The 13,627-nt window shown below is 36.7% G+C and overlaps 1 protein-coding gene across 10 annotated transcripts in view, besides 1 other annotated feature; it reads left to right on the top strand.

Moving 5' to 3' along the window:
* COX7B2 (cytochrome c oxidase subunit 7B2) overlaps nt 1-13,627 on the top strand; it is a 174,419-nt gene that overhangs the window by 19,945 nt on the left and 140,847 nt on the right. The gene's annotated exons all lie outside the window — the stretch shown is intronic.
* Nucleotides 1,710-1,897: a silencer, noted in NCBI's record as "fragment chr4:46889421-46889608 (GRCh37/hg19 assembly coordinates)". NCBI's record gives its function as "represses an EF-1alpha promoter that drives an FKBP-Casp9 reporter gene in an ReSE screen in K562 erythroleukemia cells {active_cell/tissue: K562}" and the evidence as "EXISTENCE:reporter gene assay evidence [ECO:0000049][PMID:32094911]".

The raw sequence follows: 13,627 nt of genomic DNA, 5'->3' as shown, positions 1-13,627 counted from the left end.
ACTACAGTTTGAAATCCAGGCCAGTTGTTAGAAGTCCTAGCCAGAGAAAATGTAGATAATAAGCATAATGGGAGGAGGAAATATGAGAACCATCTATAAAGGTGGTTTAACTAGTTCTATCAAATGGATTTTTCTCCTTAGATTTTTTTAAATTTATCATTATATTTTTAAAATTTAAATTTGCGGACACATAATAGGTGTATATATTTATGGGGTACATGAGATGTTTTGATACAGGCATGCAATGCATAATACTCACATCATGGAAAATGGGGTATCCATCCCCTCAAGCATTTAACTTTTGTGTTACAAACAATCCAGTTACACTCTTAGTTACTTTAAAATGTACAACTAATACATAATCATTGCAGCAACACTGGAAGGTACAGATAAGTAACTGCTCACTTAAAGATATCTGTTGGTGCGTGTTTTGTGGTGTTGGTGGCATACAGAATGAGGGATTACAGGAAGATACAGAATTGGGATTGTAGTAATTATTATAAAAACACAGTAGGGAAGTAATATCAATACAATATAAAATGTTTAAGAAACATAGGCTGGGCGCGGTGGCTCATGCCTGTAATCCCAGCACCTTGGGAGGCCGAGGCGGGAGGATCACGAGGTCAGGAGATCGAGACCATCCTGACTAACATGGTGAAACCCCATCTCTAGTAAAAAAATACAAAAAAATTAGCCAGGCATGGTGGTGGGCGCCTGTAGTCCCAGCTACTCAGGAGGCTGAGGCAGGAGAATGGCGTGAACCTGGGAGGTGGAGCTTGCAGTGAGCCTAGATCGCGCCACTGCACTCCAGCCTGGGCAACAGATCAAGACTCCGTCTCAAAAAAAAGAAAAAAAAAAAGGAAGAAACATAATCTGCCCCTGTCCAGCACCGTTACTTAAATTGTATGTATTACTTTTGTGATTATAAAACAAATCTAATATTTAAAAAAATTAAATTCTTAAATGGGCATGAACAAGCTAGAAATAGGAAACTGGATGGGCCAAGATTTAAATGTGGCTTATTTCCCATAATCGTAAAGGACTGAAGTCTCGGTTGAATGCACCATCTATTACCTGAAGGCACCACTGTGAGATGCAAAAGCCTTTCTCTCAAAGGAGAGCACTGAGTTCTTGTGGCACCTTGAAAGCGACACCGCTTTGCTTCTCCTGTTGAGCTCCTAATGCACAGTACACACCATGCGAGTTATTGCTTATCAGTGAAGTTGTGATCATCACTGTGAAATGTTGTTTTCCAGATGTTTGAGTCATTAAGAGTGGTGTCAGCACAGCAAGCAGGTCTTTCATTTGGGTATCTATACCTTCAGTAGGGGTTGGCAGCCTACTGGTTCTGGCTTGATTAATGGCTCCAAATAGGAGTGAACCATGTCTAGGAGACGACAACAGAATCCATGGCCAACTCCCAACCTTTTTTTCATTTTAGAGGCTGCTTGCAGGGTGCAGAGCAGAATGAGGGAGTTTGGGGGAATAGTCAGGTAGTGACTGCTTGCCTAGTTGGGATGCATTGCCAAATATGACTTGATTGTCTTGTCTCTGTATAGGATACTTCCTTTTTTTTTTTTTTTTTTTTTTGAGAAGGAGTCTTGCTCTGTCACCCAGGCTGGAGTGCAGTTGCACAATCTCAGCTCACTGCAAGCTCCGCCTTCCGGGTTCATGCCATTCTTCTGCCTCAGCCTCCCGAGTAGCTGGGACTACAGGCGCCTGCCACCACGCCCGGCTAATTTTTTGTATTTGTGGTAGAGATGGGGCTTCACCGTGTTAGCCAGGATGGTCTCGATCTCCTGACCTCGTGATCAACCTGCCTTGGCCTCCCAAAGTGCTGGGATTACAGGTGTGAGCCACTGTGCCCGGCCAGGATATTTACTTTTTAAAGTAGTTTTATGTACATGATCTTAGATGAATCCTCCAGGACTGAGCCCTGGGTAGTAGGATGCATTCAGATGAAGGTCATGTGGTAATATTTTTCTGTTTTCTCACAGTTGTCAAACCAGCTAGGACAAAATAAAGTTCTGCTTCTTAAAAGAATGTGTTTGCTTTTTTGCCCATACCCTTTAGGGTGGGATACTAGTATCTTTCAATGGAAAATGTACATGAAAATGTATTCCTTAAAATGCTTCTCAGAAAACAGATGGGAAGATTAGGAAGGAGAAATGGGATTCGTTCCCTCTCTTCTTTCTTTTTTTCCTTTCTTCCTATTTGATTTTTATTAAGCCTTCCTTAATGTGAGGCACACATAATAGTTAGAATTGTAATACAAATTGTTTTTAAAAGGCCTTTATATTTCACTTTGCTGAGAAGCTTCCTGTGTCGAGTTTAAAATATGTCTGCGATTTTTTTTCCACACCAATTAACAGTCTGTCCAGTAGGTGGACTCCTTCATGTACACATAAGGGTTTTCTCTTTCCTTTATCAAGTGTTCCTTAAATCTGTGAAAAGGCATTTTTGCATATTGAACTAATGGTTTCACCAATTTATTATCTGAAAGGCTGAAAATAGATTCTGAGATTCTGCTTACTTCTGTTTGAGAAAAAAATTCATGTTTAGTTACTTTTATCTTTCCCTTTGTTTTTGTTCTAACATATATTCTGACATTTTTATTTTTTAATCAGGGATATTTTAAAGAAACTAGTTGCTTTTCTTAGGTCAAACTTTAAGATTTATATCAAATTCTTCTGAACAAATTACATTTCTGAGCTTATATTCAACACAATATACACAAAGGACTAAATTAATTATACTTGTGAGAATAAGAGTTGTTTAATGAGTATGAAAATACGCTGGATAGAAGGAATAAGTTCTTGTATTCGATAGTACAATAGGGAAATTATAGTTAACGATAACTTATTGTATACTTCAAATCAGGTAGAAGAAAAGAATTGCAAAGTTCTCCACACAAAGATAAGATGAATGTTTGAGGTGGTGGATATCTTAATTACCCTGATTTAATCATTACACATTGTATATATGTATGAAAATATCACATGTACTCAAAAGTTTATACAACTATGAAATATCAATTAAAATACATTTTTATGGTCTCCATAGTTTTCTACATTTTGTTTTTGAGTGCTTTTAAGAATGCATTTTATACAGAAGAATCTGAATGAGTCATTTTTAACCTGATCCCTGTAACTACCTAAAGTCAAGTGGCTTTGGCAGTTTCTTTGCCTGCCTTCAAGGGCATTGGGGCAAGTACAGATTAATATTATTAATTAGCCTTCTTTTCTTCCCAAATCTTTACTTTTCACCCTTCTCTTTTGAAAATCTACGTTATCATTGGCTTGTAGGCAGTAAAATGTCTGCATGGTGAAATTTTCAATAGTTGATTCAATACATTTATTCTAACATGAAAAATAAACTCTTGACCTGGAAACTCAGTTTTGGAAAAGCCTCATTTAGGTAACCTTGTATACTGTTTCTCTGTGACTAGGCCAGCAATGATAGACTGTTACTCAAAACTAACCTTTGCTAAAAATTCATTGCCTTCTTATATATTACAGTTTCTACATCCACCGGAAGAATTATATGTTAAGATAACTGAAAGAATTAAATGCTTAGATAAATGAGAAAAAAACCCACCTGGTTTCTGAATAATCAAGCGCAGTTTTGATGCTTTTAATCTAGATTTTTAAATTGTTGAAGAGAAAGGTTGTATCTTGTTCATATTTATGTCTCTCCTGGCATCTGATATCAAACATGGAGGTATAATATCCTGCCTATAATCACTGGTCAGCTGATGTTTCTTGAATAGAATGGGGTATGTTTATTCATTTCATAAACAAAATCAGTAAGGTGCTGCGCAAATACAAATCTACAAAATCATTTGGAACTTGTTTATATGTTTACTTATCCAACTGCACTATTACATATATATGTATATGCTATTTCTCCTTGAGAAGAAGAGGAATGTTTCAAAATTTTTTATATTTCTATTACCTACTACACAGCTTTATACACAGCAGCATTTATTAGGTGTGTGATTATATGCGTGTTTTATTTTCCCTGCTAAAATATAATTTTCTAATAAGTATAATGAGTTTTAAATTCACATTTATATCCAGTAGTGCCTTATATATTATAATTTTCAATAAATGTTGTGAAAGGAGTGGGAAACGGCCACAAGTCAAAACAAGACTTGGATGTAATAATAATGAAAATAATATAAACACCAATATTAGTGGCAATATATCCTAAATTAGCAAATAAAGGAAAATTATGTTTGATGTATTTTTATCTCTGTGATTTATATGTATTGGCATTTCTTTTTTACAATACATGTTTTCTGAAAAATTACAAACAAGTTTATAAAAAAACAGATGGGGCAGACAATTGAAAATCAGGGCATTAACAAAAATATTACAGTCCCCAATAAAAATGCTAGCATAATAAAAAAAAAAAAGCAAACAGATCAAATAGATTGTTTGAAGCCAATATTCAATACATTTAGAACTTCATCACAAAAGAAAGTTGAAAGTAATTTGACAGAAGGAGATGTGAAGAAGGGTTGAGGCTGCTAAGCCAAGGAGACAAGGACAACATTCAAAAAGATTAAGAAAACTGCTCAAAAAACACTTCCAAAACAGAGCAATAAAAGGAGCCAAAGAAAATAAAAAGGGATGAATGGGCAATGTGAATATGACAGTATTCCTCCCTGGCTTGCTGGGTTCATCTGCTGGTACTTGATAGCATAAAACATTAATGTGTTGGGGAAACAATCATGGATAAACTAATCTGATTTCTGTGTTATACTAACAGTACTCCACTATTTACTGATCACATATGAGCTAATTTTTGTGATAAAACTCAGTGAGTAGAATATTTTCTGTTGCTTCAAAAACTGAGATAATACAAATTGGAACCTTCTATTAATCAGAATAATTAAGGACATCATTAGAGAACAGAAACTTTTCTTAAAAAGGAAATGCAGTCTGGCCATGGTGGCTCATGCATGTAATCTCAGCACTGTGGAAGGTTGAGGCAGGAAGATTGCTATGAGCCTAGGAGTTCCAGGCTGCAGGGAGCTATGGTGGTGCCACTGCACTCCAGCCTGTGCTACAAAGTGAAACATTGCTTCTAAAACAAACAAACACCACCACCACCCCCCAACTGGCCCCCTCACACATAATTAGATATGCTTGGGAATTTTGACTCTTGGGCTAGTTATTGAAGTTCTTGGAGGTTTAGATTTCTCATTTCTAAAATGGGAACAGCAATACTTAGAAATAATTGAAGACAGGATATTATATAATTTATCCATTCATTTGTTATGAAAAATGAAGATTCAAATTCAGCTCTTCTGATTTTTACTGCATAACACTGAAATTGTCATTCTATACTTTAAGTACCTACAAAGGATTCTCCAGACTAGTTGTAACATCATGTTTCCAGGATGATTTATAAGGAGAAGAGACAAGATAATGTTTGAAACTTCATTCTGAAAGCAGGTTATTTAAGTTTTGAGACCTTGACAAGAATTTAAAATTAATGTTCAGGTTTTTTTTTTTTTAAAGGTTTATTCTGATTAATAGAAGATCTCACTCTGTCGCCCAGGCTGGAGTGCAGTAACACAATCTTGGCTCACTGCAAGTGCAATCTTGGCTCACTGTAACATTGACATCCCAGGTTCAAGCAATCCTCCCACTTCAGCCTCCCGAGTAGCTGGGACAACAGGCACGTGCCACCATGCCTGGCTAATTTTTTTGTATTTTTGGTAGGGTCGGGGTTTTACCGTGTTGCCCAGGCTGGTCTCAAACTCCTGAGCTTGGGCGATCCACTCGCCTTGGACTCCCAAAGTGCTGAAATTACAAGCGTGAGCCACCATGCCCAGCCAATTAAATATTTAATACTGAGTTGATAAATAAGAATTTTTCAGAAAATACTAGTGCAAAAATTAAAAAAAAATACAGAAAGGGAATTCTGAAAAGGCCAAATTAGTGAGGTTATTTATGTAAATTAAGCCAGACAATCATGACTTCTACCAAAATACCAGATCTACAAAGTATTTAGGTAAATAAATGATTGGGATTGTCAAAGCAATTGAAAGCAAATGATAATGTCCTTCTCATGGTTAAACATTTCCTTCCAGAATTAAAACATTTAATCTACATATGATGCCAAAATAATTATACTCAGTAGTATTGCTACCGGCTTTACCTATGATTCAGTCTTACATATTAAATTGGTTTTGATTATTTTCATTAAATGTTTAATATGGAGATTTTATTTCTCATTGCCTATCAATATAAGAAAAAATTAATCTTAACTTATAAAATCATAGCCTTCAAATTGTTACCTAGCTGAAACATATTTATTAAACATATGTGTGAAATTAAGTCTCTTTCCCATTGCAAAATTTATCACAAGTAATATGGAATAGTGTAGATATATAGTGATAATGATTTGTGGCTTAAATTCACGTATGGTGGACTCATTTTGTCTTACAAATCAGAAGACTCATGAAAAAAATTTAATAAATAAAACATCACAGTGGAAACACACATTCTTTATGTAATAAGTAACTTTAGAAATATGTAGTTGTTAAAAAATTTGGGTCAACCAGTAGTATGCTGTCCTCAAGAGACCCATCTCATGTATAATAACACTCATAGGCTCAAAATAAAGGGATGAAGGAAAATCTACCCAGCGATCAGAAAACAGAAAAAATCAGGGGTTGCAATCCTAACTTTGGACAAACCAGATTTCAAACCAACCAAAATAAAAAAGACAAAGAAAGGCATTACATAATGATAAAGGGTTCAGTTTAACCAGAAGACCTAACTATGCTAAATATGTATGCATGCGATGCAAGAGCACCCAGATTCATAAAGCAAGTTGTTAGAGACCTACAAAGAGACGTAGATTCCCACACAATAATAGTAGAAGACTTCAACACCCCACTGACAGTATTAGTACAGATCATCAAGGCAGAAAATTAACAAAGATTCAGGACCTGAACTCAACATTGGACCAGATGGATCTGATAGACCTTTACAGAACTCTCTACCAAAAAACAACAGAATACACATTCTTCTCGTCGCCAAATGGTACATACTCTAAAATTGACCACATAATTGGACCTAAAACAATCCTCAGCAAATGTAAAAGAACCAAACCATACCAAACACACTCTCAGATCACAGTACAATAAAAATAGAAATCAAGACTATGAAAATCTCTCAAAATCATGCAGTTACATGGAAATTAAACAATATGCTCCTGTATGACTTTTGGGTAAATAATGAAATTAAGGCAGAAATCAAGAAGTTCTTTAAAACTAATGAGAACAAAGATACAACGTAGCAGAATCTCTGGGACACAGAAGTCAGTGTTAAGAGGGAAATTCATAGCACTAAAGGCCCACATCAAAAAGTTAGAAAGACCTCAGGTTAACAGTGTAACATCACAACTGAAAGAATTAGAGGAGAGTCAAGAAAAAAACCTCAAAGCTAGCAGAAGACAACTGTGAAAGGAAAATATCTTGGGCCCCCAAAATCACTAAAGAAAACTCAAGCTGGAAACTGCTTAGGGCAAACATGCCTCCCATTCTGTTATTATTATTATTATTATTTGAGATGGATCTATCGCCCAGGCTGGAGTGCAGTGGTGTGATCCTCAGTCTCCTTAGTAGCTGGAATTACAGGTGCACTCCACCACGTCTGGCTAATTTTGGTATTTTTTTTTTTATTAGAGATGAGGTTTCACCATGTTGGCCAGGCTGGTCTTGAACTCCTGACCCCAAGTGATCCACCCACGTCGGCCTCCCACAGTGCTGGGATTACAGGCGTAAGCCACCATGTTCAGCCGCCTTCCATTTTATTCAAAGTCACCCCTCTGCTCACTGAGATAGGTGCATATCTGATTTGTATCCTTTGGAAAGGCTAATCAGAAACTCAAAAGAATGTAACCATTTGTGTATCACCTGTTTGTGACCTGGAAGCTCCCTCCCTGGTTTGAGTCTTCCTGCCTTTGCTTCCAGTTGTCCTGCCTTTCCAGACTGAACCAGTGTACTTCTTACATGTATTGATTGGTGTCTCATGTCTCCCTAAAATGTATAAAACTAAGCTGTGCCCTGACCACCTTGGGCACATGTCGTCAGGTCTTCCTGAGGCTCTGTCATGGGTGCATCCTCAACCTTGGCAAAATAAACTTTCTAAATTAATTGAGACCTGTCTCAGATTTCCTGGGTTCAAACAAGAAATAACAAAAATTAGAGCTGAATTGAAGAAAATTGAGACATGAAAAAACCATTCAAAAGATCAATGAATCCAAGAGTTTTTTTTTTTTTTTTTTATTATACTCTAAGTTTTAGGGTACATGTGCACATTGTGCAGGTTAGTTACATATGTATACATGTGCCATGCTGGTGCGCTGCACCCACTAATGTGTCATCTAGCATTAGGTATATCTCCCAATGCTATCCCTCCCCCCTCCCCCAACCCCACCACAGTCCCCAGAGTGTGATATTCCCCTTCCTGTGTCCATGTGATCTCATTGTTCAATTCCCACCTATGAGTGAGAATATGCGGTGTTTGGTTTTTTGTTCTTGCGATAGTTTTTTTTTTAAAGGAATAAAATAGATTAGCTAGGCTAATAAAGAACAAAAGAGAGAAGATCCAAATAAACACAACTAGAAATGATGAAGAGAATGTTACCACTGACCCCACTTAAATAAAAATTGCCATCAGAAACTACTACGAACACCTTATGTACACAAACTAGAAAACCTAGAAGAGATGGATACATTCTTGGACACATGCACCCTCCCAAGACTGAGCCATGAATAAATTGTCTTCCTGCATAGGCCAATAATGAGCTCTGAAATTGAGTAAGTAATAAATAGCCTACCCAGAAAAAAAAAAAAAAAAAAAAAAGCCCAGGACCTGATAGATTTATGCTGAATTCTACCGGATGTATTATAGAAAGAAGAGTTGGTACCATTCCTACAAAAACTATTCCAAAAAACTGAGAAGGAGGGACTCTTCCTCAGCTCTTTCTATGAGGTCAGCATCATCTTGGTATCAAAACCTGGCAGAGACACAACAAATAAAGGAAACTTCAGACCAGTATTTTTTATGTACATTGATGCAAAAATCCTCAACAAAATAACTTGTAAACCGAATCCAGCAGCACATCAAAAAGTTAAGCCACCATATTGAAGGAACCTGCCTCAAAACAGCAAGAGCCACCTACGACAAACCCACAGCAAACATTACACTGAATGGGCAAAGTTGGAAGCATTCCCATGAAAACCGGCACGAGGCAAGGATGCCCTCTCTCACCACTTCTATTCAAGACAGTATTGGAAGTCCTAGCTCAAGCAGTCAGGCAAAAGAAAGAATATACTCATGTAATTGTATCTCTCTACAGAGGAAAAAAACTGTGAGTTCTCATTAATACAGAGAACACCAGTCCAAAACCACAGCATTTATTTTGTGTTAATTAGTGGCACTTTCTGGGTACAATAAAGAGTTGTCATTACAAGGATCCTGAAGGATTGGAACGGCACTCCTTCAAATGAACTATAAAAACAAAATATGTCTCAATTGGCTTTTTTTTTTTTGAGGTCTTCGTTTTCTTTGATAAATCCATCAAGGATTCATCAAAGCGGTACAATAAATGTATTGAAGAGGTACAATAAAAGAAAAACTTGCAATTATAAAACAGATAAAGATTATGCAACATACTCTAATGGATCATCATTTAGAAAAGATCAAGGAGAGGTCTCGGTGTGGTGGCTCCAGCCTATAATTTACATTTCATTGGCCTATAATCTCAGCACTTTAGGAGGCTGAGGTGGGAGGAACGCTTGAGGCCAGCAGTTCAAGACCAGCCTGGGCAACATGGTGAGACCCCATCCCTATGAAAAACTTTTTAAAAAATCAGCAGGGCAGCGAGCCGTGATCACACTGCTGCACTCCAACCTGAGTGACAGTGTGAGACCGTGTCTCAAAAAGAAAAAAAAATTAGACACAGTGGTACATGGCTATAAGTAGGACTTACTGGTTAGTCTTTGGAAGACTAGAGGCTACTTGGAAGGCTGAGTTAGGAGATCACTTGAGCCCAGGAGTTCAAGGTCAAGGCATCAGTGAGCTATGATCATGCCATTGTACTTCGTCTGGGCAAAAGAGTAAGATCCTGTCTCAAAAAAACAAACAAAAAAAATCAAGAAAAGGAGAAAAAAATCACGGCCTTAGTTCATTATGTCCAGATATACTAAATATACTTGCACCTTAATAGTAAGTTGAGAGTCAGTCAGAAAAGTGTCAAGTGACCTATATGTTGTTTACCTACAATCATCTTTGAGCATGAACTGGTTTAGTAATATAATCTTGAGTCTTAGCTGAGCACATGTCTGATTGGCTAAGACTGTAAGTCCTTGCCTTCTTTGTTAGGCGTGTCTGTGTGGTTAAGTTCTGGCCAATGAAATGTAAGTAGAACTAGTGATGTAGGAAGCCTCTGAGTCATGCCCTCAGAGAGAAGGGGTAGACTTTTACTTCACCAGCTTCCCAGGTTTCTGGAATGTGGATTTGATAAGGAAAGCTAGAGGAATCATAGTTGCCCATGAGGTAGAAACCAAATATTGAGGAAGACGGAGCGTTAAGATAATAGGAAACTGAGTGGTTCCTGACACTTTACAGCCAACATATTTTCCCTGGACTCTTTATGTTAAGATTATGATGTGGGAAATAAATTTGTTTCTCTCTTGGCACTAAATTTTTGGGTCTTTAAAACATGTTATTGTATGTATTTAAGATCTAAAATGTAATGTGTATATATGTGTCTATATATATATATATATAATAGTGCTAACTTATGTATATGTAGTAAAATGATTACTACAGTCATGCAAATTATCCTATCCATCACCTTTTTTTTTATGGTAAGAGCACCTAAATCTACTCTTTTAGAAAACTTTTAGTATACATTAGAATATTATGAACTATAGTCATTATGCTATACATTAGATCTCTAGATTTAGTCATCCTATATAACTGAAAGTTCATACCCTTTGACTTTTTTCTCCCCTTTTCCTTACCTCCTCACCCCTGGTAACCACTGTTCTACTGTTTCTATGACTTTGATCAATTTTTTTTTAAAAAAACTTCCGCATATAAGTGAAATCACACAGTCTTTCTTTCTGTGTCTGGCTTATTTTACTTAGCATAACGTCCTCCAGGAACGTTCATGTCATAGAAAATGGCAGTTATTACCTTTTTTTTTAAGGGTGAGTAATATTCTTTGTGTGTGTGTGTGTGTGTGTGTATGCACTACAATTTCTTTATTCATTCATCCATTGGTGGACATGTAAGTTGTTTCCATATCTTGGCTATTGTGAACTGCTGCAGTGAACATGAGAGTACAGATATCTCTAAAGGGTGCTAACTTCATTTCCTTTAGGTATATACCCAGCAGAGATATTGCAGGGTTATGTGGTTGTTATGGTTTTTGTTTTTTAGGAACCTTCAAACAGTTTTCTGTAATGTCTGTATCAATTTACATTCCCACAAACAGTGTACCAGGGCTCCCTTTTCTCCATACCCTCACTCATATTTATTATTTTTTGACATTTGGTATTTGGTATACCTATTCTAACAGGTATGGGGTGGTATATCACAGTGGTTTTGATTTGTACTTCCTTGATTATTATTGATGTTGATGCTTTTCAAACACCTGTTGGCCTTTTTGTGTCTTCTTTGGAAAAATGTCTATTCATGTTCTTTGCCCATTTTTAAATTGGGTTTCTTTGTTAGTAGAACAGCTTAATTCCTAAGATACATGTAATAACTATACCAGGATCTATATCTGTGTAAAGACAACTAGATGTGAGTAGAAAAGTTTGCGGTCACAATGTCCTCCTATACCAAAGAAGAAAAGATTAACCAGCAGTGAAAGACAAATATGTTAGGCATTTTAAGGAGAGTGAAAGATGTTTTATCCAGAGACATGTCTTAGTAAATAAGAAAGCCTTGGTTTTGGACGCAGATGTCCTTGAATTTGGCTATGAAACCTCAGCTCAGTCACATAACAAGCTAGCACTATGTTTCCTCATGTGTAATATGGTAATACTTATTACTTATTCCATATACTCATCTCCCACCTCTTGTCCTCTACTTACCACTCCCTGATACACCAAGTTCAGAGTAATGTGCACTTTAATTCATGTCTATTTTGTATTTAGGAATTTTAGATCATTTTGCCATCTGTCATACTAGAACTGAAACTGGGTTTTGAGAGTCGTTCGATTCTTACTGCTAATGGTTTTAGTTCAAAAACTTAACATTGTGAACTCAAAGTGATAATATGATTTCTTTCCAGACTCATCACAGATTTGTTTATGTAAAGTTTGGTAAATTTTTATATACAAAAGTAGCTGTTGCCAGAAAAATATCAAGTAGCTTTAGCCTTTAGCGAAACTCATACTTGACAAAGTCTCACAAAGATTTGTAATGTAATGACAAAGGAGAATATTGACAGTTGGACTTATCTTTTAATTCTCTCATCTTAACACAGCTGAGATTTCTCCTTTTTTTCTATTCTTGTTTTAGAAAATGAAAAGCTTTCTTAAGACAATAGGACGGGCCGGGCGCGGTGGCTCATGCCTGTAATCCTAACACTCTGGGAGGCCGAGGTTGGCGGATCACGAGGTCAGGAGATCGAGACTATCCTGGCTAACACGGTGAAACCCTGTCTCTACTAAAAAAATACAAAAAATTAGCCAAGCGTGGTCGTGGGCTCCTGTAGTCCCTGCTATGTGGGAGGCTGAGGCAGGAGAATGGCGTGAACCCAGAAGGTGGAGCTTGCAGTGAGCGGAGATGCGCCACTGCACTCCAGCCTGGGCGACATAGCGAGACTCCTTCTCAAAAAAAAAAAAAAAAAAAGACAATAGGACGGACTCTGTGTTTGAAACTGAAAATCAGAGGATCATTCTTCCCTTTATAAAGAGATACAATGAAATATTATTTAAATATCACCATCTGGTATATTTAACCTACAGTTTTATTTATAAAAATGTTACCTCTAACTTTTTCAGAGCACATAGATTTGCCCCATGCATGTCTCTTAGGCAGTCAATAATCTATCCCTGGTAATTGTACAGCTAGTACAGTTGTATTTTTAAAACCTTTTGTTCTTTTTAAAGCATATCATGTTGAGTTTACTTTGCATCCATAAGATGTAGTGTGTTTCCAGCACTGACAAAGCACTGTGGTTAATATGAAAAAAATTGCATAATGAATATTCATGTCTTCAATTGTTTTATAATCTATTTGGACTAACAGTAGTTCCATAGGAGAAACAATGCAGAGCAGCATATAAACTTCACTGAATTACTCTATGTAGTATAAACTCAGAGAAAAGTAAGACCGGTGGGCTATAGTAGTTGAAATTTTAATAGAATTTATAACACTTCAGTTGTTCAGAATTAATAGAATTTATAACACTTCAGTTGGCCTTGGAAGACAGGTAGAATGTGGACAGGTGAAGAGATGGAAAAAGTAGAAGAGAACATTAGGAAAGTCACCAAGCAGAGTGACATGGGCTACGGGGGATGAAAAGGAATGTGTCCTGATGGAAGCAGAATTTAGTTGGGAAGTCATAGGACGTTAGATTG

Source organism: Homo sapiens, chromosome 4 (genome assembly GCF_000001405.40).
Source record: "Homo sapiens chromosome 4, GRCh38.p14 Primary Assembly".
In the NCBI taxonomy this organism is placed as follows: domain Eukaryota; kingdom Metazoa; phylum Chordata; class Mammalia; order Primates; family Hominidae; genus Homo; species Homo sapiens.
The sequence above is the reverse complement of the archived record's forward strand: the minus strand, read 5'-3'. Positions and strand labels throughout refer to the sequence as shown.